The sequence below is a fragment of the Homo sapiens genome, chromosome 11, assembly GCF_000001405.40.
Source record: "Homo sapiens chromosome 11, GRCh38.p14 Primary Assembly".
NCBI lineage: Eukaryota > Metazoa > Chordata > Mammalia > Primates > Hominidae > Homo > Homo sapiens.
In genome coordinates, this window is record NC_000011.10 from 83,573,016 (window position 1) to 83,596,143 (window position 23,128).

The 23,128-nt window shown below is 36.9% G+C and overlaps 1 protein-coding gene across 62 annotated transcripts in view, besides 2 other annotated features; it reads right to left on the reverse strand.

Annotated features, from left to right (window-relative positions):
* Positions 1-23,128, reverse strand: part of DLG2 (discs large MAGUK scaffold protein 2) — a 2,173,362-nt gene that overhangs the window by 118,004 nt on the left and 2,032,230 nt on the right. The window lies entirely within an intron of this gene.
* Positions 14,385-14,968: an enhancer, noted in NCBI's record as "H3K27ac-H3K4me1 hESC enhancer chr11:83298443-83299026 (GRCh37/hg19 assembly coordinates)". NCBI's record gives its function as "activates a minimal SCP1, AML or CMV promoter by ChIP-STARR-seq in naive H9 embryonic stem cells {active_cell/tissue: H9 hESC(naive)}" and the evidence as "EXISTENCE:reporter gene assay evidence [ECO:0000049][PMID:30033119]".
* Positions 14,969-15,552: an enhancer, noted in NCBI's record as "H3K27ac-H3K4me1 hESC enhancer chr11:83299027-83299610 (GRCh37/hg19 assembly coordinates)". NCBI's record gives its function as "activates a minimal SCP1, AML or CMV promoter by ChIP-STARR-seq in naive H9 embryonic stem cells {active_cell/tissue: H9 hESC(naive)}" and the evidence as "EXISTENCE:reporter gene assay evidence [ECO:0000049][PMID:30033119]".

Consider the following 23,128-nt stretch of genomic DNA (forward strand, 5'->3'; position numbering starts at 1 on the left):
TTAGTTTTTTAGTAGCTTTTTATGATTTGAAAACAATATGCTTTTTTACTCCTTTTTTCCCCAACTAATTGATATGTTGGTCTAACCTAATTAATAAATCTTTTGGTTTATTTACTTTAGGAGTAAAAAATATGCCCGATTCACATGATTAGAATCAATTTATGACTAAATAAATTATGAAGTTATGTAACATGTGATTTATCCTATTAAAATGATTACGAAAGAGCAATTCCAAATGGTGATTATAGTCTCCAACTGAAGTCAGATTTCGGTCTTAGTCATCTCTATGTCATCAGTTAGGCAAACAAATGCCTAAATTATCACTAATATAAGAGATGTGGCTATAAGTGTCTTAGTACTGAGTTCATTTGCAGAGTAATATAATTACATATTTGGCATAAATACAATTCAGAGACTGTTCAGAACTCTCTTCTTTCTCATATCAAAGTCTATTTACTACTAAAATGATTCTGATGAATAATGCAACCTTATTCTTTTATAGAACAGACTAACAATACACTGCCCGTCCCAGAAAAACACAAAAATCATTACCTTCATTTCTAGGAATATAAACTTTGGAAGCCTAAGGAAAATCTAACCTAATAAAGGTAACATTTTATTGAGAAGAGTAGATAATTGTCAAAAATTGGGCATTTTATTATTTATTTTCATTTTAGCATCACCTTTTGCTAAAATGTAGGAAACTTTTATTTATACTAAGCAAACTGAGCCCTGGTATTATGTATCACTGGGTGCATTTGAATGAACAACAGATAAGTTTGTCCCCCAATACAGGATAACTACATGTGGTTCAGTCCTGGAGAAGCACAATTTACAACAGTGCTTCGAGGCAGTATAACACATTGGAAAGAGCAAGCTTTTGATATGGATAGATTTGGATTGAATTCTAGCTTTCTTCTGTATTGAGTTGGTGAACTTTTGAGTCTCATGTTTTTCACATGTAAAATAGTTAAAACCTTCTCATGTGGTTGTTGTAATGATTAAATGGGGTAATATATAAAAGCATTTTTCAGAGCCTGGCACATAATAAGCATGTTAGACATGTTAATTTTCTTATTCTAAACTCTGTAATTAATCCTAGAGAAGCCCTCCCCTCACCACATTCTTTTGCAGGCACAAAGTTATGAAACTGGAGTTGGAGAAAGGTGGAGGGTCCCTTGAAGCCAAAAGTGAAGCTCAAATGACAGTGTCTGTCTTTTGCAGAAATAGCTGTTATATCAGCATGTACTGATTTTAAAGATGATGTAGACATACTTCAATCAATTTAAATTTCCTTTATGGTTAATACAGGGGAGTATAAAAGATATATATGTAGGGACTAAACTTATCCCAAGTATATTTGATAAATAAAACTACAAAAATACAAATATTGCATATAAGACAGTATTTTTTAAGGTTGGAAATAAATGTATAAGGATATACAATATAGTCATTTTCTGATTTAAAAAGCCTTTTAAAATTTTTATGTGCTGTGATCTGATCATTTCTCAAGTCACCTTTGTAAGTGCCTGTTTTCTGACGGCCTCTATACATTGTCATTCTGACCTGAACAAGCAGAACAATTAAAGTATTATAGGTTCACTGTATCCTGAGCTGAACCAAACTCTTGTGATTCCAAAGCTGCAGGATGAGCTGCTACCTCTGCCATAACTAGAAGATGAGTAATCAAGAACCTCCCATCAGAACTGTTGTTTCCAAGAATGTACTTTTTAGCTAAGCTACAGGGATCAGGAGGTTGTCTAAAACGATTGGATCCAGGGACATGATACAGTTCCTATGTCAGCACAGCTAAAAAGAAGATGCCCTAGGCACAACCACTTGGCACTTGTGAAATTATTGACTAAAGAATGGAGATTCTGATAGCACAGCTCAGAAAAACCCAACACATCTTACAACCACTGTGTATGCCAGAAAAAAGTAGCAGATGAAAAGGAAGTACAATTTCTAACTCATTTCCATATTCTAAGACTTGCCTAAGTAAGTTTGATTAGCTGAATCTAAATTATATCTGATAACCTAGAGACATGGCATCTGCAAGGGTATATGAGATAGGTAGTGAGCAGCTTTCATCTTTAAAGATGTAAGAAGGAACTTCAATTTCTATGCAAGATGGAATGAGAGAAATCAGCTTTAACCTCCTGCTTCAAACAACCAAAAGTAAATAAAATCAGACAAACTATAGGGAATAATGATTTCCCAGACACCAGACATCAGACAATGAAGGACAAGAATCTTTAGTAGATGGGAAACAAATGAGGTAACTGCCCCAGCTTTCTGCCTTGACAGAGTCTCGAGGCCATCAAGCAGGGACAAAGAACCCAGGAGAAGCCTGGCAGACTCTCTTAGTTGAAGACATGGAACTGAGAATCTGAAGAGATCAACATGGCTAGAGTTTGCAGAAAAGAGTATCAGAAGAGAGCTGCACAGAAAGAAAATTCTGGAAATATGCTGAGAACCACTCTTGAGTATTTAGCAGAGTACTGATTGGCATCTGTGTGCATGAAGAAACTACAAGAGGCCAGAGAAAGAACCATTTTGAAGGATGAGTAGGATCAATACTTGGCATTTGTAAAGGGCTGAGATCAGTGCTGGTTCTCACCAGCTAAACTAGAAAACTTCACAATTCATGGGGCATTAAGTAGTATGCTCAGAAAAATCTTGCTTCAGTAGTAAAACATAATTACCCCTAAATGCTGCCCTCCCATCTAAAAAAATTTAAAAGCAAAACTTGAAGAGATCAGCAAAACTTGAAAAGATCAGTTCCATGATACATTTCAATATTTACAGAAATGCAAAAATATCTGGCCCCAATAAAGTAAAATTCACCATGTCTGGCATTTAGTCAAATATTACCAGGCATAAAAAGAAGTAGAACAATATGACTGACAATGGGAGAAAAAAATAACCAATCAAAACGAACCCATAACTGACACAAATGTTAGAAGTGGCAGAAAAGAACATTAAAACAATTTTATAATTGTATTGCAGATGGTCAACAAGTTAAATAGGGACATGAAACATATAAAAAAAATCCAAATTAAACTTGTAGGCATAAAAACTACAATGTTGAAAATGAAAAATATGCTGAATAGAATTAAAGGCAAATTAAACAATGCCTAAAATATTAATGAACATAAAATACATAGCAATGGAAACTAACCAAGTTAGTTACTAACCAACTAACCAAACTAACCGTGAAAAAATAATTCTAAAGAATGACAAGAGTATCAACCAACTGTGAGACACCCTCAAGTAGACTAATAGACCTCTAATTGGAGTTTCCAAAGTGTAGGAAGAGTGAGAAGGAAAGGAAAAATATTTGAAGGAATCATGACCAATAATTTTCCAAATTTTATTGAAAACTATGAATATTTTAATCCAAGAAGCTTAATACCACAGAAGCACAAGAAACATAAAGAGAAACACACCAAGATACATCATAATCAAACAGCTTAGTAGCACTAATAAAAAGAAAAAATTTATTTATGCCAGGAAAAAGAAACATGCTTCATGCAAAGAGAATAAGGAAGACAAGGATGACAAGAGGCTTCTCATCAGAAACAACATGGGTAAGAAAACAGTGAAGGCAACATCTTTAAAGTTACCTGCACTGTAAGGGTCAACTTAAAATTCTATATCCAGATAAAATATCTTTCAAAAATAAAGGCAAAATAAAGACTTTTTTCAAACATAAAATGCTGAAAGAATTCCTTAGTAGCAGATGTGCACTTAAAGAAGTAGTGAAGGAAGTACTCCAGGCAGAAGTGAAATGACACCTAATGGAAGTCTGGATATATATAAAGGAAGTACCCTGGGAATGGTAACTATGTGGATGAATACCTAAGCCTTTTCCTTGTTATTTAAACTTCTTTAAAACAATTGTCCACTGTGATGGTTAATACTGAGTGTCAACTTGATTGGATTGAAGGATACAAAGTATTGATACTGGGTATGTCTTTGAAGGTGCTGCCAAAGGAGATTAACATTTGAGTCAGTGGGCTGGGGAAGGCAGATCCACCCTTAATCTGGTAGGCACAATCTAATCAGCTGCCAGCGAATATAAAGCAGGCAGAAAAACGTGAAAAGGACAGACTGGCCTAGCCTCCCAGCCTACATCTTTCTCCCATGCTGGATGCTTCCTGCCCTCGAACATCGGACTCCAAGTTCTTCAGTTTTGGGACTTGGACTGGCTCTCCTTGCTCCTCAGCTTGCAGACACCCTATTGTGGGACCTTGTGATAGTCTAAGTTAATACTTAATAAACAATAGAATATATATATATCTTATTAGTTCTAATAGGAGATATATATATCTTATTAGTTCTAATAGGAGATATATGTATCTTATTAGTTCTAATAGGAGATATATATCTTATTAGTTCTAATAGGATAGATATATAATAGTTTATATAGGAACTAATAGGATATATATATATAAAATAGGATATATTATATATATATATAATAGGATATATTATATATATATGTATTAGTCAGGGTTCCCTAGAGGGACAGAATTAATAGAATATATATATATATATATATATATATATCCTATTTATAATAGGATATATATTATAACATATATATGTTATTTATAATAGGATATATTTATAATATATAATATTATAAATATATCCTATTTATATCCTATAATAAATAGGATATTATAAATATATAATTATTAAATTATCCTATAAATAGGATATTATAAATATATAATTATTAAATTAAAAATATTAAATATATTATATTTTATATATTTATATTTTATATATAAATACAAAATATTAAATATATATTATATAATTATAAATATATAATTATATTATAAATATATATAATATAAATATATAAATGGAAGTTTATATATGTATAATTATATATATTTATAATATATAATATATATTTAATATTTTGTATTTATATTATATATAAATATATAAATAAATATATATAATACATCTACTTAACCCAAAATACTAACAATGTGTCATGGGGTTTATTTTGTGTGTGTGTGTGTATACATATATATATGTATACACACACACACACACTGTATCATATAAAATATGTGACAATACCACAAAAACCAGAAGAAAGAAAACTATACTTTGTAAGGTTCTAATGCGGTACATGAAGTATTATAATATTGATAGTAATGCTAGAATGGGATAAGTTAAACATGTACACTACAAACCCTAAAGCAACCACTAATATAACAACAACATCTGGAGAGTTATAGCTAATAAATCAACAAATGAGATAAAATGGAGTTATAACAATTATCCAGTAAACCTCCAAACAGACATGCAAAGAGAAAAAAAGAGAATAGAGAACAGTACCAAGATGATTAGACTTAAACCTAATGACACCAACAATCATGTCAACTGTAAAAAGTTCAAGGCACTTCAATTAAAAGGCAGCAACTGTTTGTTAGACCGGATAAAAAAGAAAGATCCAACTATATAGTGTTTATAAGAAATACACTTTAAATTCAAAGGTACAACTAGGTTAAAATTAAAGAGATGGAAAAAATATATACCATATTGACACTAGTCAAAAGAAAGTTGGAATGACTGCATTAATATATAAAAAAAGCAGATTTCAGAGCAAAGAATATTATGAGCAATGATGAAGCCCCAAATTTATCCAGAGGATATAAAAAGCCTAAATCTTTATTCATGTAATAACAGCTTCAAAATACATGAAACAAAAATGTGAACATTAGCAACTTGACTTAATTAGCATTTATAGACTACCCATCAACAATATATTCTTTTCAAGTGCGTATGAAACATTTACCAACAAAGATTATTATATTTCTGGGTCATAAAACAAGTCTTAAGGATTCAAGTCATACAAAGAATGTTCTCAGACCACACAGACAGTGAGTGATAGAATTGAGCATTCAAGACCTGCCTAGTATAGAATATTTGCTTCCCCACTGTGTTTTCCTCCTTGTTGCTTTACATGTGTTTGGATTTTTCTCTGATATATGTGGCTCTGGGCTTCTTTCCTTGCCTCAACAATAACAGCTCCCTGGTAGGGAAGAGGCTTCCACTAACCTCTTCCACAAAACTCCAGGAATAAACACTTTCTTCACAATCAGTCAACTGAAGCAATGTGTTGTGGTAAGCAAAATTCTTAATGTAAGATATTTGGACTTTGAGAGAGTAAATATCTAGGCAAATAAAATGTTGCATTTATTCTACACATTAATTTCAAGTATGAAAATAACTCCACTCCAGAAGCTGATGCAATTATATCATATTATGCTCTATTTTCTCAGCTGTTCTTATTTGCTATTTGATGTTTAAAAAACTACCTCTTTCTCACGTGGTCCATGCCTTAGACTACGTAGCTATGGCAATTTTGTTTCTGGCCAAACCAGCATAATGGATATCGCCACATTCCTGTGACTGTATCTAGATTTTGACCAAAAACTAAAGACAAAATTAATGCAAATTATGTGCAGATTTTATAGACGTTTATTTTACTTGTGGTATTATGCCTTAAAGCTCTTTAATAAGCATGTCTAAAGTGAAAGTAGACATTTTAAGATTGAAAAAAACTGGCCATTTTACAAGAAACAATAAAATGCTTAAAAAAATGAATTTGAAAAAAAATAAATAAAATAAATAAGTAAATTTGGGCCAGGTGTGGTGGCTCACACCTGTAATCCCAGCACTTTGGGAGGCTGAGGCAGGCGGATCATGAGGTCAGGAGATCGAGACCATCCTGGCTAACAAGGTGAAACCCCGTCTCCACTAAAAATACAAAAAATGAGCCAGGCATGGTGGCATGTGCCTATGGTCCCAGCTACTCGGGAGGCTGAGGCAGGAGAATGGCTTGAACCTGGGAGGTGGAGGGTGCAGTGAGCCGAGATCTCGCCACTGCACTCCAGCCTGGGTGACAGAGCGAGACTCTATCTCAAAATAAATAAATAAATAAATAAATAATAAATAATAAATTTGGTCAGTATGTGACACTGAGGGAGAAACAGCTACAACTTATACACTTTTAAAGTCACAATATATAGAACTTCCAATGTTTGTTGTTAATTTTAATGGTATCATTCCTACAAATTTCATTTGTATCATCATACAACTTTATTCATTGATCTTTTTTGTGCCATTACTAATAGAAATATTTGCAACATCATTGTACTCATGTACAGTGTAAATGGAATTGGACTCTTCCCATTTTTCCTCTACTTTGGTTCCTTCCTTATTAAAATATATGCCCATGGTTAAAATTTAAAAGACAGTTACCATAAAAATCATAATTTGCAATCCCTAAAACCATAGATGCCACAACTTTTAGGAAAAAAAAAAACATTTATTGAGCACTACTCTCTGCTAGGCACTAGGGCTAACAAAGATAGATATGGGTTCTGCCCACGTGAAATTAGGGGCTAGTTCAATAAAGTTCTGCCATGATGTCTATAAGTTTCCTTTTCTCTCCTACCAAGGAAAGATATACTGGAATGCAAGCAATTGAAAGGGCTGTCCATAAAAGAGTTATTTTAAATCTGACCCAATTTATAAAGAAAGTAATTTGCAAAACTTACTTACTTCATTAATAGTAACACATTACATTGGGTGATATATTTGTCTACTTAGTACCACTACCCACTCCTATCTCCAACTTTCAACATAAAAATTCTCACAGGAATTGCTGTGTTCTTACATAAACCTGCACCCTGGTTTCTGTGGGAGAGCACTTAATACAGGCCAGGAGAAGCAAAAACTGGCCCTCCCTCCCTCCCCTGCCCCGCCAGGCTTCCTCCCTTCCCCCCTCCCCCATTCTCCCCTTCCCCTTACTTCCTCCACCCTTCTCTCCCCTCCTCTCCCCTCCCTTCCCCTCCCCTCCCCTCCCCTTTCCCTCCCTCATTCCTCCCTTCCTTTCTCCATTCCTCCCTACATTCTTCTCTCTCATCCTTCTTTCATTTTGGCAATCTTTCTCTTGTAGCAGAAAGTTCAACATGTACTAATTAGGCACTCTGAGAGACAAGTTTGCGAATTCATGAACAAACTTGTCCACAGTTACAGATCTCAAACCTCCAAATGAAGAGGGTGAGTTCGAAGGCTGAGAGAGTCTTGATGGCACTCCTATGCCCAATATGTGTTGGTGACACACAACTCTAATCCTGCCCTTCTGTCCATTCCATGGAGACATATTACTCCCATTTTGCTTAAGCTTGTCATTTTCTTTTTAAAATCACCTGGAATAAAATTATTGACATAAACCAGTGTATTGAGACAGTCCAGTTGGGAACTGCTGCCTTAAAAATAATTATTCTTCTCTGGAAAGTCTCAGATTCAAGAAACAGAACACAGAATTACACTGTTAATCAAAGAGCTTAGTAATAATTCTATAAGCAAGATGCTCTGTTTTATGTTAAAGAATTACCCTAAAATACATGTCAAGAGGAAATAACATTATTTCAGCTCAAAAAAAAATACATTCTTGCAAGAAGACATAAGAGCTGTCATACACTTGAATTATGGTGTTCATTTATCAAATAATTTTGACTTGGTTTACCACAGGTGAAAATAGATATGATTCTACAGAGGAACTTTTTGTTTTTCCCCAGCAAGACTTGTCCCAAATTTAAATAAAAATTAAAAAGATCCTATGTGGAAGTTTTGAAACGATATAACATTGAATCTGGAGTGTGCCTCAATGTAAAGAGTAAGAGTGCATTAATCAGAGCTAAAGGAGATTTGAGGAAATACCTACTGTTTCTTTTCAAACATTCCATTTTATTGGTCCTAGCATGGAACCACATAAAAATCCTAAGAGAACAGTAAGTGAAACTGAGTTTAGGGAGAATTACATACTAGGTTCCCATATTTCCTTCTACTTTTCATTTTGATGTTCTTGAATTTAGAATTCTGAGTTTGGACTCTTTTTTTTTTTTTTTTTTTTTTTTTGAGATGGAGTTTCACTCTGGTTGCGCAGGCTGGAGTGCAATGGCTCAATCTCAGCTCACTGCAACCTCCGCCTCACAGATTCAAGCGATTCTCCTGCCTCAGCCTCCCAAGTAGCTGGGATTACAGGCAAGCGCCATCACACCCGGCTAATTTTGTATTTTTAGTAGAGGCGGGGTTTCTCCATGTTGGCCAGGCTGGTCTCAAACTCCCGACCTCAGATGATCTGCCCACCTTGGCCTCCCAAAGTGCTGGGATTATAGGCATGAGCCACCTCCCCGGCTGACTTTGGAATCTTTGCCATGGTGACCACAGGAATTACTGCCCCTGGTAATAGTGCTTTGGTTCCAAGACTGTCCAGGCCAAAGTTACTGGAATATTACAGTCAGACTCTAGACTTTTCCAATTCAAGGATGGGGATCCAATAACCAAAAAGACACTTTTCACCTCAGGTCTGTGTACATTTACTGAATGCTGATCATGTCCCAGGCATAGTGCTTGATGCTGGGGATGCAATTATGAATTAAGACATTCTCAGTATCCTCACAAGAAAAGGAGGAATGCCCACAGCTCATCAGCAAAATCATAAACTGGTTCATACTTAGCACTAGTCATTCCTGCATAGGCCATCCCCATTCCCCAGCAATATTATTAATGGATTGGTTGTATTTGTGGGATATATAAGTCTGCTATAGGCCTTAGTAGATAAGATTCTGATTTTCAAACAAAATGTATTAATAATGATAGTTCTTCAAGGGAAGATTAGATAAGTAGTAACAGGAAGCATACAAATATCTTTCAGCGACAAGCATTCTACTATATGTTTTACTTATACTGTATAGTTACAGAGAAATAATGTATAGAAAACATCTAGCTTAGAGATTGGCACAGAGATGCATTATTATCATTGTTGCTAAAAAGTATAACAACCCAGCAGGAGAGATAGGTATTATTTCCATTTAATAGAGGAAGAAATGAAGATTCAAAGCGGCAAAGTGACTTATCTAAATCTCACAGATAAAATGTATAAGAGCAGGGTACCAGCCTGAGGGTGTCTGGCTCTAAAGCTCTTGCTCTTTTCACCCCAATGCTATTGGATCAGTGCAGAAGCTAATTTGCATAATCTCTCACTTGAGAGTTTCATTTTAGTAAAAGTGCACTAGTTAAATAAGAAGAAATACTTAATTCTGTTCAACTACCATTTGTTCAGCCTTTATTTGGCAAAAGACAAAAAATATTCTTTGAATGCTAAATATTCAAAGGGGAAAGTCAGAAATTTCCTCTGTAATCTTTAATCATGTCAGACAGAGCAGGTCTCCTCCAGAGAAGGCTGCCCTCTTTGCACTGCCCCTCACACATGCTCATGAACATATTACCGAAAGCCTGCAAGCCCGGGCATTGCCCTTCACTGTACTTTTGGTTGAGTCCATTATTAGGGGCAGTGTGGCATGGTGGCTAAGAACACCAACTATGAATCTGAGAAATGGATTCTAGACCCACCTCTTCCTTTTATTCTCTGGGGCCTGGTATTAATTCTTCAACTGACTCTCAGCTTCTTTATCCATAATATGGAAGATTTGGAGTGGTTTATCTCTAAGGTAACTTGCAGTTGCAAAATGTCAGGGCTTCCTTTTTGGGTTAAAAGTGGTCTTAAATGAGTCAACTGATACAGTTTTACCATAGGGATTTCAAAGACAAGCCTCAGTTCTTCTTCTGGACGATAAGTTTCTTGAGAACAAGAACCTTTAACTATTCTCTCACATCACCTTGCAAAATACCTATTATTTAATTGTTGTTCAATTGATATGTTTCATTAATAAAGTAATGAATGAACACTTTATATACTGAAAGAAAATAGGTAAGATTCAAAATGCAAAATTCAACAGAAATATGTTTGTAGTGTATCAGATGTTTTGACACATCTATTTCTTAATCTAGCCCAAGAATGACAGAATTTTGGCTGACTGGTCAGGCTCCATTGAATCATGAAAAAGAAATCTGTATTTTTTTTCTATAATTAACTCAGTGTCAGAAAGTGTATCCAATGAAAGGCCAGGCTTAGTCTTCTGATTCACATTAATTTTGTGGAACACTTGTAAAGGACAACATCAAGATACTTATATGTGCTTCTGAGAAACAAAACACAAAGCAAACCAGGTCTCTGTTTCCTATTATAGACTTTTGTACTGAGTCACTTGTCTGAGTATTAGAGTCACAATGAGTCACTAAGGGTCTATGGTGGAAGACACTATCTTACTCATTTATTCCTAGCATCTAACACAGTGCTAAGCATGTAGTAGTGTTTAAAACATTCGTCTTGTCAATACACTTACGAAAATATGTTCGGTAATGTTTGTTATGATGTAAAGGAGTTGATAGCCCAGTTCCATATAACAATACGGCTAGCATAAGTGAGGGATTACTCTAAATGTCATGAACTCAATCAGAATACGCTTCACCAAAAATGAATAACTTAAGGTCTATGTGCCAAGTCTGAGAATGAAGTTACTGAAGTTGGGTCAATAATCAGGTCATGTACTGGAATATTAGTTGGTTGAAGAAGAACCATCAAACTGGAATAATGTTCTCAGTGAAATGAGGATTGTGTGATGAATAATAGAGTGTCATATAAAATAGTTTTAGATCCTGGCTGTAAATGGAAGCAAAAATTAGAGATAATAGAAATGAAACTCTAAAGATAGAGGATTTTTGAGCAATACGCTGAGCCATTGCCATTCCACAGAATGTGTTCTGTCCTGGGCCAGCAGCTGATGGAGAAGGGTGAGAATGGAGAAGGGGACAAGGTGAGAATGGAGGCATAAAGCAGATTGTAGTGTCAAAATCAGTAATTTAGGCAAACCCTAAGTTAAAAATCATTCATTCCTTTACTCAGTCAACTGTAGGTGCTGGGCACAGAACTGGGCATTGTAAAATATGAAATGTGCATAAGACATGATTCCTGCCTTCAAGTAGTTTATAGTGAAATTACTCCTCTACTTTTTAGGACTGAAATAAAAAGGACATCATGTAACTGCTTCTGTGCTTTAAATTTTTCATCTGTAAAGTGACCTCCCTACCTCAGTAGAGTTTGAAGATAAAATGGTAGCATTATTGCAAATATTTGTAATGTTATTACAAAATAACATTTTGTAATCATAAAATATTACATGGAAATAATTAAGATTCTTCTACTATCACTGTGATAATAACAGTGGTAGTAAAGAATCAAGTAAGATCTTTAAATGATAATATAAATGTTGAAATAAGTTTTTAAAATAGTAGTGGTTAAGATCAGTTCCCCAACAGGATGGAGACATTGATCTGGGCATAACTAACAACCAGTAACCAAGGCCAGGGAATGTACCATACAATCACAACAACCCACAACCCTCTCTGCTACTTTTGGCCCGTTTATAAAGAGATAGCTTGTGTAGCTTCTCTATAGGTGCCCCTAGATACAGCCATACTTAAACTTTCTGAGATTTTCCCCCTACACACCTCAACTACTTATACTGGTGTCATCCTATGATGTAGTACAAAATAATAGCTTCTATTTATTATTGTTCATTTCATTTAATAATCATCTCTTGTGACGTAGGATTTGGGACTCAAGGATGAATAACTAAAACTTGGACTGAAACAAGAATTAACACATGAACAACATTTGGATATTTTTCTGATTGAAAACATTACTTGAATAGTATTTTTCTACTGAAGTTTGCAAATGAAAATGGTGACATTCTACCTTCTCAAAGAGAATTTCTAAGCATTTATTACTAGACATGTTTAAAAAATTCTGAAGCTTTGAGTATTCCTATCAGAGCACACTGGAGGAAACAGAAAAGTCAACATTCAAGGCTGAAAATACACGAGAACAAGGTATATCATTACCATGGTATAATTATGTGCCATGAGGATGGGGCTTGGGAAACCTGACAATGCCTGAAGAAAAAAGAGAAGAGATAGAAGAAATGAGAAAATGTCAAGAGACAAAGAGAGAAACTAGGGCAAATAAAAGCCAACCTTCTCCTAGTGAAACCAGAAAGGACTCTTCAAGAAATAAGATTTTGAGAGTGGGCATGACATTTAGCCAAAGGCAGTGTGCAAGTGCTGAGCATTAGGTAGAAGAACAGACAAAAACAGGTGCTTCAGGACAGCTAGAGAATCTGGATGGATGCAAGCCCTCAGCATCATTCAGGAGTGGGGCATGGGCATTGCCCAGGTCAGGAGCCAGAAAAAAGGGCTTTGCCAGCCTTTTGGCATTTGTGTGGAGTAAACTTAAGTGTCATTCTGTGCCCACTATGTTTACCAACATAGGGAGAATCTTTTTGTGTTCTATTAAAAACACAACAGTAAATATACTTCAACATTTCTGTTATAGCACAGACAGATGTGGGATAAATTCCTGGTTTTGCCACTTACCAGCTAGGTGACTGGGTCAATTATTTTGCTTCTCTGTGCCTCAGCTTTCACTTCTCTTATGAGAATAACCCACTTAATGAGGCTGTTGTGAGGTTGAATGAAATAACTGTGTCTATAAAATATCAGCGTATTAGGTTCTTTAAAACTATCATTTTCTTCCTGCTTTTTACCTATATCCCTGAGGTACAGGGTCAGAACTCAAAATTAATAGCCAGTATTTATTGAGTGCCACATACTGTTCTAAGTTTGTTACTTATAGTAACTACTTAATCTGCATAGCAGCTCTATAGGGTAGATACTATTTTATTAACATTTTTTGAGAGAGAATACAGAGGCACTGAGAAGTTAAAAACCAGCTTGCGTAAGTTTTCACAGCTAGGAAATCTCAGAGCCAGGACTCAGTTTTACAACATCAGGGAACCTAGCACCAAAGCTGGTGCTCTTAACTACTGCCTTGTAATGTTTTCTCTAACCCACAGCAGGTATTGTTATCATGAATTCACACCAGGGTTGTGAAAATCGAAGTTGGTAGCAGAGCAATGGCCACAGAAGCTATTTTCCTTGACACTAGTAAATGAGGCTTTCAAAGAAAAACAATCTGACTTTAAATCCTGACTCCTCTTCTTCTAGTTATGTGGCTATGAATAAGTTATACCTGTTCACAAAGGGTGTTGTGATGATTACATGAAATGATCTTTGTAAAGTGCCTAACACAGAGCAGCCATTCCAGAATGTAGTTCCTATTATTGTTATGCTTTGGATTAAAAAAGAAAACAACACATCTGCTGCTTATAGTTTTTTTTAAATTATCTTTTAATGTTTGGCTATAAGCAGCCATATCAGCTCCAGTTTCTCCCATCTAACATTGAATTTGCTACTTTTTTTTTTTTTAATTTGAGACAGGGTCTTGCTCTGTCACACAGGCTAGAGTACAATGGTGCAATCTCAGCTCACTGCAACCTCACCTTCCATGCTCAAGTGATCCTCCCACCTCAGCCTCCCAAGTAGCTGGGACCACAGGTGCATACCACCATGCCCAGCTATTTTTTTATATTTTTAACAGAGATAAGATATTGCCATGTTGCCCAGGCAGATCTCGAACTCCTGAGCTCAAACAATCTGTTCTCCTTGGTCTACCAAAGTGCTGGGATTATAGGCAAATGTGCTACTTTTAGGAGATAGTGAATTAGAATTTATATATAGAGAGAGTTTCTCTCTATAATCACTCTATGTATCTATAGAATTTATATAGAGAGGAATAGGAACAGCTCCGGTCTACAGCTCCCAGCGTGAGCTACGCAGAAGACGGGTGATTTCTGCATTTCCATCTGAGGTACCGGGTTCATCTCACTAGGAAGTGCCAGACAGTGGGCGCAGGTCAGTGGGTGCGCGCACCGTGCGCGAGCCGAAGCAGGGCGAGGCATTGCCTCACTTGGGAAGTGCAAGGGGTCAGGGAGTTCCCTTTCTGAGTCAAGGAAAGGGGTGACGGACGGCACCTGGAAAATCAGGTCACTCCCACCTGAATACTGAGCTTTTCCCATGGGCTTAAAAAATGGCGCACCACGAGATTATATCCCGCACCTGGCTCAGAGGCTCCTAAGCCCACGGAGTCGCCTAGCACAGCAGTCTGAGATCAAACTGCAAGGCGGCAGCGAGGCTAGGGGAGGGGCGCCCGCCATTGCCCAGGCTTGATTAGGTAAACAAAGCAGCTGGGAAGCTCGAACTGGGTGGAGCCCACCACAGCTCAAGGAGGCCTGCCTGCCTCTGTAGGCTCCACCTCTGGGGGCAGGGCACAGACAAACAAAAAGACAGCAGTAACCTCTGCAGACTTAAATGTCCCTGTCTGACAGCTTTGAAGAGAGCAGTAGTTCTCCCAGCACGCAGCTGGAGATCTGAGAACGGGCAGACTGCCTCCTCAAGTGGGTCTCTGACCCCTGACCCCCGAGCAGCCTAACTGGGAGGCACCCCCCAGCAGGGGCACACTGACACCTCACACAGCAGGGTATTCCAACAGACCTGCAGCTGAGGGTCCTCTCTGTTAGAAGGAAAACTAACAAACAGAAAGGACATCCACACCAAAAACCCATCTGTACATCACCATCACCATCATCAAAGACCAAAAGTAGATAAAACCACAACGATGGGGAAAAAACAGAACAGAAAAACTGGAAACTCTAAAAAGCAGAGCGCCTCTCCTCCTCCAAAGGAACGCAGTTCCTCACCAGCAACGGAACAAAGCTGGATGGAGAATGACTTTGACGAGCTGAGAGAAGAAGGCTTCAGACGATCAAATTACTCTGAGCTACGGGAGGACATTCAAACCAAATGCAAAGAAGTTGAAAACTTTGAAAAAAATTTAGAAGAATGTATAACTAGAATAACCAATACAGAGAAGTGCTTAAAGGAGCTGATGGAGCTGAAAACCAAGGCTCGAGATCTACATGAAGAATGCAGAAGCGTCAGGAGCCGATGCGATCAACTGGAAGAAAGGGTATCAGTGATGGAAGATGAAATGAATGAAATGAAGTGAGAAGGGAAGTTTAGAGAAAAAAGAATAAAAAGAAATGAGCAAAGCCTCCAAGAAATATGGGACTATGTGAAAAGACCAAATCTACGTCTGACTGGTGTACCTGAAAGTGATGGGGAGAATGGAACCAAGTTGGAAAACACTCTGCAGGATATTATCCAGGAGAACTTCCCCAATCTAGCAAGGCAGGCCAACGTTCAGATTCAGGAAATACAGAGAATGCCACAAAGATACTCCTCGAGAAGAGCAACTCCAAGACACATAATTGTCAGATTCACCAAAGTTGAAAAAAAGGAAAAAATGTTAAGGGCAGCCAGAGAGAAAGGTCGGGTTACCCTCAAAGGGAAGCCCATCAGACTAACAGCAGATCTCTCGGCAGAAACCCTACAAGCCAGAAGAGAGTGGGGGCCAATATTCAACATTCTTAAAGAAAAGAATTTTCAACCCAGAATTTCATATCCAGCCAAACTAAGCTTCATAAGTGAAGGAGAAATAAAATACTTTACAGACAAGCAAATGCTGAGAGATTTTGTCACCAGCAGGCCTGCCCTAAAAGAGCTCCTGAAGGAAGCACTAAACATGGAAAGGAACAACCGGAACCAGCCACTGCAAAATCATGCCAAAATGTAAAGACCATCGAGACTAGGAAGAAACTGCATCAACTAACGAGCAAAATCACCAGCTAACATCATAATGACAGGATCAAATTCACACATAACAATATTAACTTTAAATGTAAATGGACTAAATGCTCCAATTAAAAGACACAGACTGGCAAATTGGATAAAGAGTCAAGACCCAGCAGTGTGCTGTATTCAGGAAACCCATCTCATGTGCAGAGACACACATAGGCTCAAAATAAAAGGATGGAGGAAGATCTACCAAGCAAATGGAAAACAAAAAAAGGCAGGGGTTGCAATCCTAGTCTCTGATAAAACAGACTTTAAACCAACAAAGATCAAAAGAGACAAAGAAGGCCATTACATAATAGTAAAGGGATCAATTCAACAAGAAGAGCTAACTATCCTAAATATATATGCACCCAATACAGGAGCACCCAGATTCATAAAGCAAGTCCTGAGTGACCTACAAAGAGACTTAGACTCCCACACATTAATAATGGGAGACTTTAACACCCCACTGTCAACATTAGACAGATCAACGAGACAGAAGTCAACAAGGATACCCAGCAATTGAACTCAGCTCTGCACCAAGCAGACCTAATAGACATCTACAGAACTCTCCACCCCAAATCAACAGAATATACATTTTTTTCAGCACCACACCACACCTATTCCAAAATTGACCACATAGTTGGAAGTAAAGCTCTCCTCAGCAAATGTAAAAGAACAGAAATTATAACAAACAGTCTCTCAGACCACACTGCAATCAAACTAGAACTCAGGATGAAGAATCTCACTCAAAACCGCTCAACTACATGGAAACTGAACAACCTGCTCCTGAATGACTACTGGATACATAACGAAATGAAGGCAGAAATAAAGATGTTCTTTGAAACCAATGAGAACAAAGACACAGCATACCAGAATCTCTGGGACACATTCAAAGCAGTGTGTAGAGGGAAATTTATAGCACTAAATGCCCACAAGAGAAAGCAGGAAAGATCCAAAATTGACACCCTAACATCACAATTAAAAGAACTAGAAAAGCAAGAGCAAACACATTCAAAAGCTAGCAGAAGGCAAGAAATAACTAAAATCAGAGCAGAACTGAAGGTAATAGAGACACCAAAAACCCTTCAAAAAATTAATGAATCCAGGAGCTGGTTTTTTGAAAGGATCAACAAAATTGATAGACCGCTAGCAAGACTAATAAAGAAAAAAAGAGACAAGAATCAAATAGACACAATAAAAAATGATAAAGGGGATATCACCACCGATCTCACAGAAATACAAACTACCATCAGAGAATACTACAAACACCTCTATGCAAATAAACTAGAAAATCTAGAAGAAATGGATAAATTCCTCGACACATACACTCTCCCAAGACTAAACCAGGAAGAAGTTGAATCTCTGAATAGACCAATAACAGGAGCTGAAATTGTGGCAATAATCAATAGTTTACCAACCCAAAAGAGTCCAGGACCAGATGGATTCACAGCCGAATTCTATCAGAGGTACAAGGAGGAGCTGGTACCATTCCTTCTGAAACTATTCCAATCAATAGAAAAAGAGGGAATCCTCCCTAACTCATTTTATGAGGCCAGCATCATCCTGATACCAAAGCCAGGCAGAGACACAACCAAAAAAGAGAATTTTAGACCAATATCCTTGATGAACATTGATGCAAAAATCCTCAATAAAATACTGGCAAAACGAATCCAGCAGCACATCAAAAAGCTTATCCACTATGATCAAGTGGGCTTCATCCCTGGGATGCAAGGCTGGTTCAATATACGCAAATCAATAAATGTAATCCAGCATATAAACAGAGCCAAAGACAAAAACCACATGATTATCTCAATAGATGCAGAAAAGGCCTTTGACAAAATTCAACAACCCTTCATGCTAAAAACTCTCAATAAATTAGGTATTGATGGGACGTATTTCAAAATAATAAGAGCTATCTATGACAAACCCACAGCCAATATCATACTGAATGGGCAAAAACTGGAAGCATTCCCTTTGAAAACTGGCACAAGACAGGGATGCCCTCTCTCACCACTCCTATTCAACATAGTGTTGGAAGTTCTGGCCAGGGCAATTAGGCAGGAGAAGGAAATAAAGGGTATTCAATTAGGAAAAGAGGAAGTCAAATTGTCCCTGTTTGCAGATGACATGATTGTATATCTAGAAAACTCCATTGTCTCAGCCCAAAACCTCCTTAAGCTGGTAAGCAACTTCAGCAAAGTCTCAGGATACAAAATCAATGTACAAAAATCACAAGCATTCTTATACACCAATAACAGACAAACAGAGAGCCAAATCATGAGTGAACTCCCATTCACAATTGCTTCAAAGAGAATAAAATACCTAGGAATCCAACTTACAAGGGATGTGAAGGACCTCTTCAAGGAGAACTACAAACCACTGCTCAATGAAATAAAAGAGGATACAAACAAATGGAAGAACATTCCATGCTCATGGGTAGGAAGAATCAATATCGTGAAAATGGCCATACTGCCCAAGGTAATTTACAGATTCAATGCCATCCCTATCAAGCTACCAATGACTTTCTTCACAGAATTGGAAAAAACTACTTTAAAGTTCATATGGAACCAAAAAAGAGCCCGCATCGCCAAGGCAATCCTAAGCCAAAAGAACAAAGCTGGAGGCATCACACTACCTGACTTCAAACTATACTACAAGGCTACAGTAATCAAAACAGCATGGTACTGGTACCAAAACAGAGATATAGATCAATGGAACAGAACAGAGCCCTGAGAAATAACACCGCATATCTACAACTATCTGATCTTTGACAAACCTGAGAAAAACAAGCAATGGGGAAAGGATTCCCTATTTAATAAATGGTGCTGGGAAAACTGGCTAGCCATATGTAGAAAGCTGAAACTGGATCCCTTCCTTACACCTTACACAAAAATCAATTCAAGATGGATTAAAGACTTAAACGTTAGACCTAAAACCATAAAAACCCTAGAAAAAAACCTAGGCATCACCATTCAGGACATAGGCATGGGCAAGGACTTCATGTCCAAAACACCAAAAGCAATGGCAACAAAAGACAAAATTGACAAATGGGATCTAATTAAACTAAAGAGCTTCTGCACAGCAAAAGAAACTACCATCAGAGTGAACAGGCAGCCTACAAAATGGGAGAAAATTTTCGCAACCTACTCATCTGACAAAGGGCTAATATCCAGAATCTACAATGAACTCAAACAAATTTACAAGAAAAAAACAAACAACCCCATCAAAAAGTGGGCCAAGGACATGAACAGACACTTCTCAAAAGAAGACATTTATGCAGCCAAAAAACACATGAAAAAATGCTCATCATCACTGGCCATCAGAGAAATGCAAATCAAAACCACAATGAGATACCACCTCACACCAGTTAGAATGGCAATCATTAAAAAGTCAGGAAACAACAGGTGCTGGAGAGGATGTGGAGAAATAGGAACACTTTTACACTGTTGGTGGGACTGTAAACTAGTTCAACCATTGTGGAAGTCAGTGTGGCGAGTCCTCAGGGATCTAGAACTAGAAATACCATTTGACCCAGCCATCCCATTACTGGGTATATACCCAAAGGACTATAAATCTTGCTGCTATAAAGACACATGCACACGTATGTTTATTGCGGCATTATTCACAATAGCAAAGACTTGGAACCAACCCAAATGTCCAACAATGATAGACTGGATTAAGAAAATGTGGCACATATACACCATGGAATACTATGCAGCCATAAAAAATGATTAGTTCATGTCCTTTGTAGGGACATGGATGAAATTGGAAATCATCATTCTCAGTAAACTATCGCAAGAACAAAAAACCAAACACCGCATATTCTCACTCACAGGTGGGAATTGAACAATGAGATCACATGGACACAGGAAGGGGAATATCACACTCTGGGGACTGTGGTGGGGTTGGCGGAGGGGGGAGGGATAGCATTGGGAGATATACCTAATGCTAGATGACGAGTTAGTGGGTGCAGTGCACCAGCATGGCACATGTATACATATGTAACTAACCTGCACAATGTGCACATGTACCCTAAAACTTAAAGTATAATAAAAAAAAGAAATATATTAAAAAAAAAAGAAAAAAAAAGAATTTATATAGAGAGATCATTTCTCTCTATAAAAATCATGTGGAAATCCAGTCCTGGCAAGTATGAAGTTGATATTTGTAAAAACACGAACATAAAATTGCCTAGCTGATAAGGATAAAATTATAATATTCTCCAAGTCACAATATTCTCACTGCTTGAAAAAAAAAGATAAAATAGTGCTGTCATTTGACAGATTAAACAGCATGCAATAATTCCTTTTCTCCATATAGCATTGAATAAGTCCTTATTGAGACTACTTAAAAAATGGCTATATATATCGTAAACCAAAAGTAAACCTAGGTAAGTGTAATAGCAAATAAAAGGTTAAAATGGGAAGTAAAAAAATACAAGGCCCTTAGATTTGCTTAGCCTTGACAGAAATACTGGGAAAGAGACAATTATGGCTTGCCAAATACTGATCTGTTCCCTGTATTTCCTGGACCCTTTAGGCAGGGCCCTGTGGCATGTTTCAGTCAATGGTCTATGAGCAAGTGTGTCAGGATGCAACCCTTTCTCTTCTGCCTTGGCTATCAAGGAACTGATTTCTAATGGTGCAGCTCTAAGATTGTGGCCCCTCCATCATTGTGAGTACTGAGTGACTGTGTGGAGCAGAGCCCTTCCTCAAGCCCTGATTGGTATGTACTGTGGATGAGAAATAAACTTTTATGTGTGAAGCTAATTTAAGGATTGTTGCATTTAAGAAATATGTTGCATCATTGCCTGTCTTAGCTTTGTTAATACAGTCTTGAGTAATTTTATACAGCACTGTATAATTTACACAGACATTTCAGATGCATGATCTTGTTTAAACTGACAACATGCTTAAAGAACATTCATTTGGTCCAAAAAGCATAAAATTAGAGGCTGTATTGTCGTACATTGAAGCAATCAAGGTTTATATTAAATACAGGGAAAACTATCTAAGAATAGAGGTTGTTGAAGAGAAGCCATGTATAAAGGATACTTAGAAGAGGATTTATAAATTGGATGGGAAGGAAGGGTAGGACTAGAAGAGGTGGCTTTGGGTTGCTTCTAATTCTTGAGCTGCCATGGGAATTGTGAAATGTCCATTCCCAGGAGAGTTGCAATACTTGGTCTTGGAAGGTTTGTATGGAATTTCTCAGCAAAAGCAAGTGGGCTCCCACTCGTCCCTACTTTAAAGATGGTCCAGATTTTAGGAAGAAATAGAATAGGCTTAGGCTCCATACAGCTGAGCTGAGTTTGAACTAAAAGGTAGATCTTCCACTTTCTGTACCACAGCAATTAATGAAATTCCTAATGGCTTTATGTCATGGTGGTAATGAGTTTCTCAGCTTTTCACATTATACAGATATTTAGACATATTCTTTTATCAATGCATATGGTATAAAAGCTCATTCTGACTACAGAAGTTATTTAAATTATCTCAGAGCAAAAAATCTTTACAAGCAATAAATCTATTTATGGGAAAAAAAAACCACTTCTTTCTAGGCCCTTTGTTTCTCAAATGTAAATAAAATGTGAGGTGAGTTTTCTCCCAGCTCTTGGGTATTAAATAAAGCATTGCTGCACTGGGGTTTCAACTATTAATGAAGGCATTAAGTGCTTTTATGCTAGATAATGTATTAAGTCTTTTCTCTTACAATTCTCAAAATCCAGCTGTGTAAGGACTATTATCATTTGCATTTTGCAGTTGAGGAAACTGAGGACAAACTGTTGATAACTTACTGTGTTCCAGGCATTAAATGAGATAAACAGGGCATCCTCCTCATTTTTCTTACCATTAAGAATCCATCTAAGGAACCAAATTAATGGCAGGCTTTAATGGCTAAAACATTCATTGTAATTAATGTTACTGCACAAGTGGCTCTGTGACCACAATTAAACTGAACAATTCAGGCTGATTTGCTGTAGGACTTCTCCACAACCAAATTACTTTGTACGGAACTAAAAATGCTGTTACTGATGCGGTCTCAGGCTGATCCTCAGCAAACTGAATTACTCCTATTTTTTTCAGTCTTTGATTCTCCAGCCTTTTGGAGACACCATCTAACCGAAATGCAAGTTCATTTTAACATGTAAAGTATCACATTGCAAACAATTTATAGAAGAACGTAATGAACAAAAAGAATGGATGACAAGAGTTTCAAAAACAAACAAAAGTCTGCCATTATCAATTTACTGGCCCTTAATCTCATAACTATGCCCTTGATTAGGTAGAGATGATGTCGTAATAGGTGCATTATAAGACAATATATCAAAATGTTACCCAGATGCAAATAAATTTGCAGATATTAAGGCAAGAAACTTATACAACCCTTAAAATGCATTTATTCCTTTGTTTTGCATATTGGCAAGAACATGATCTGAACATAAAAGTCTCACAGCACAGTGGACCTTATTTTAACCCTAAAATTAGCTCAAACAATATAACTGAATCAAATAAAATATGCACAAAAACAACAAGATTTAAGATTAAGA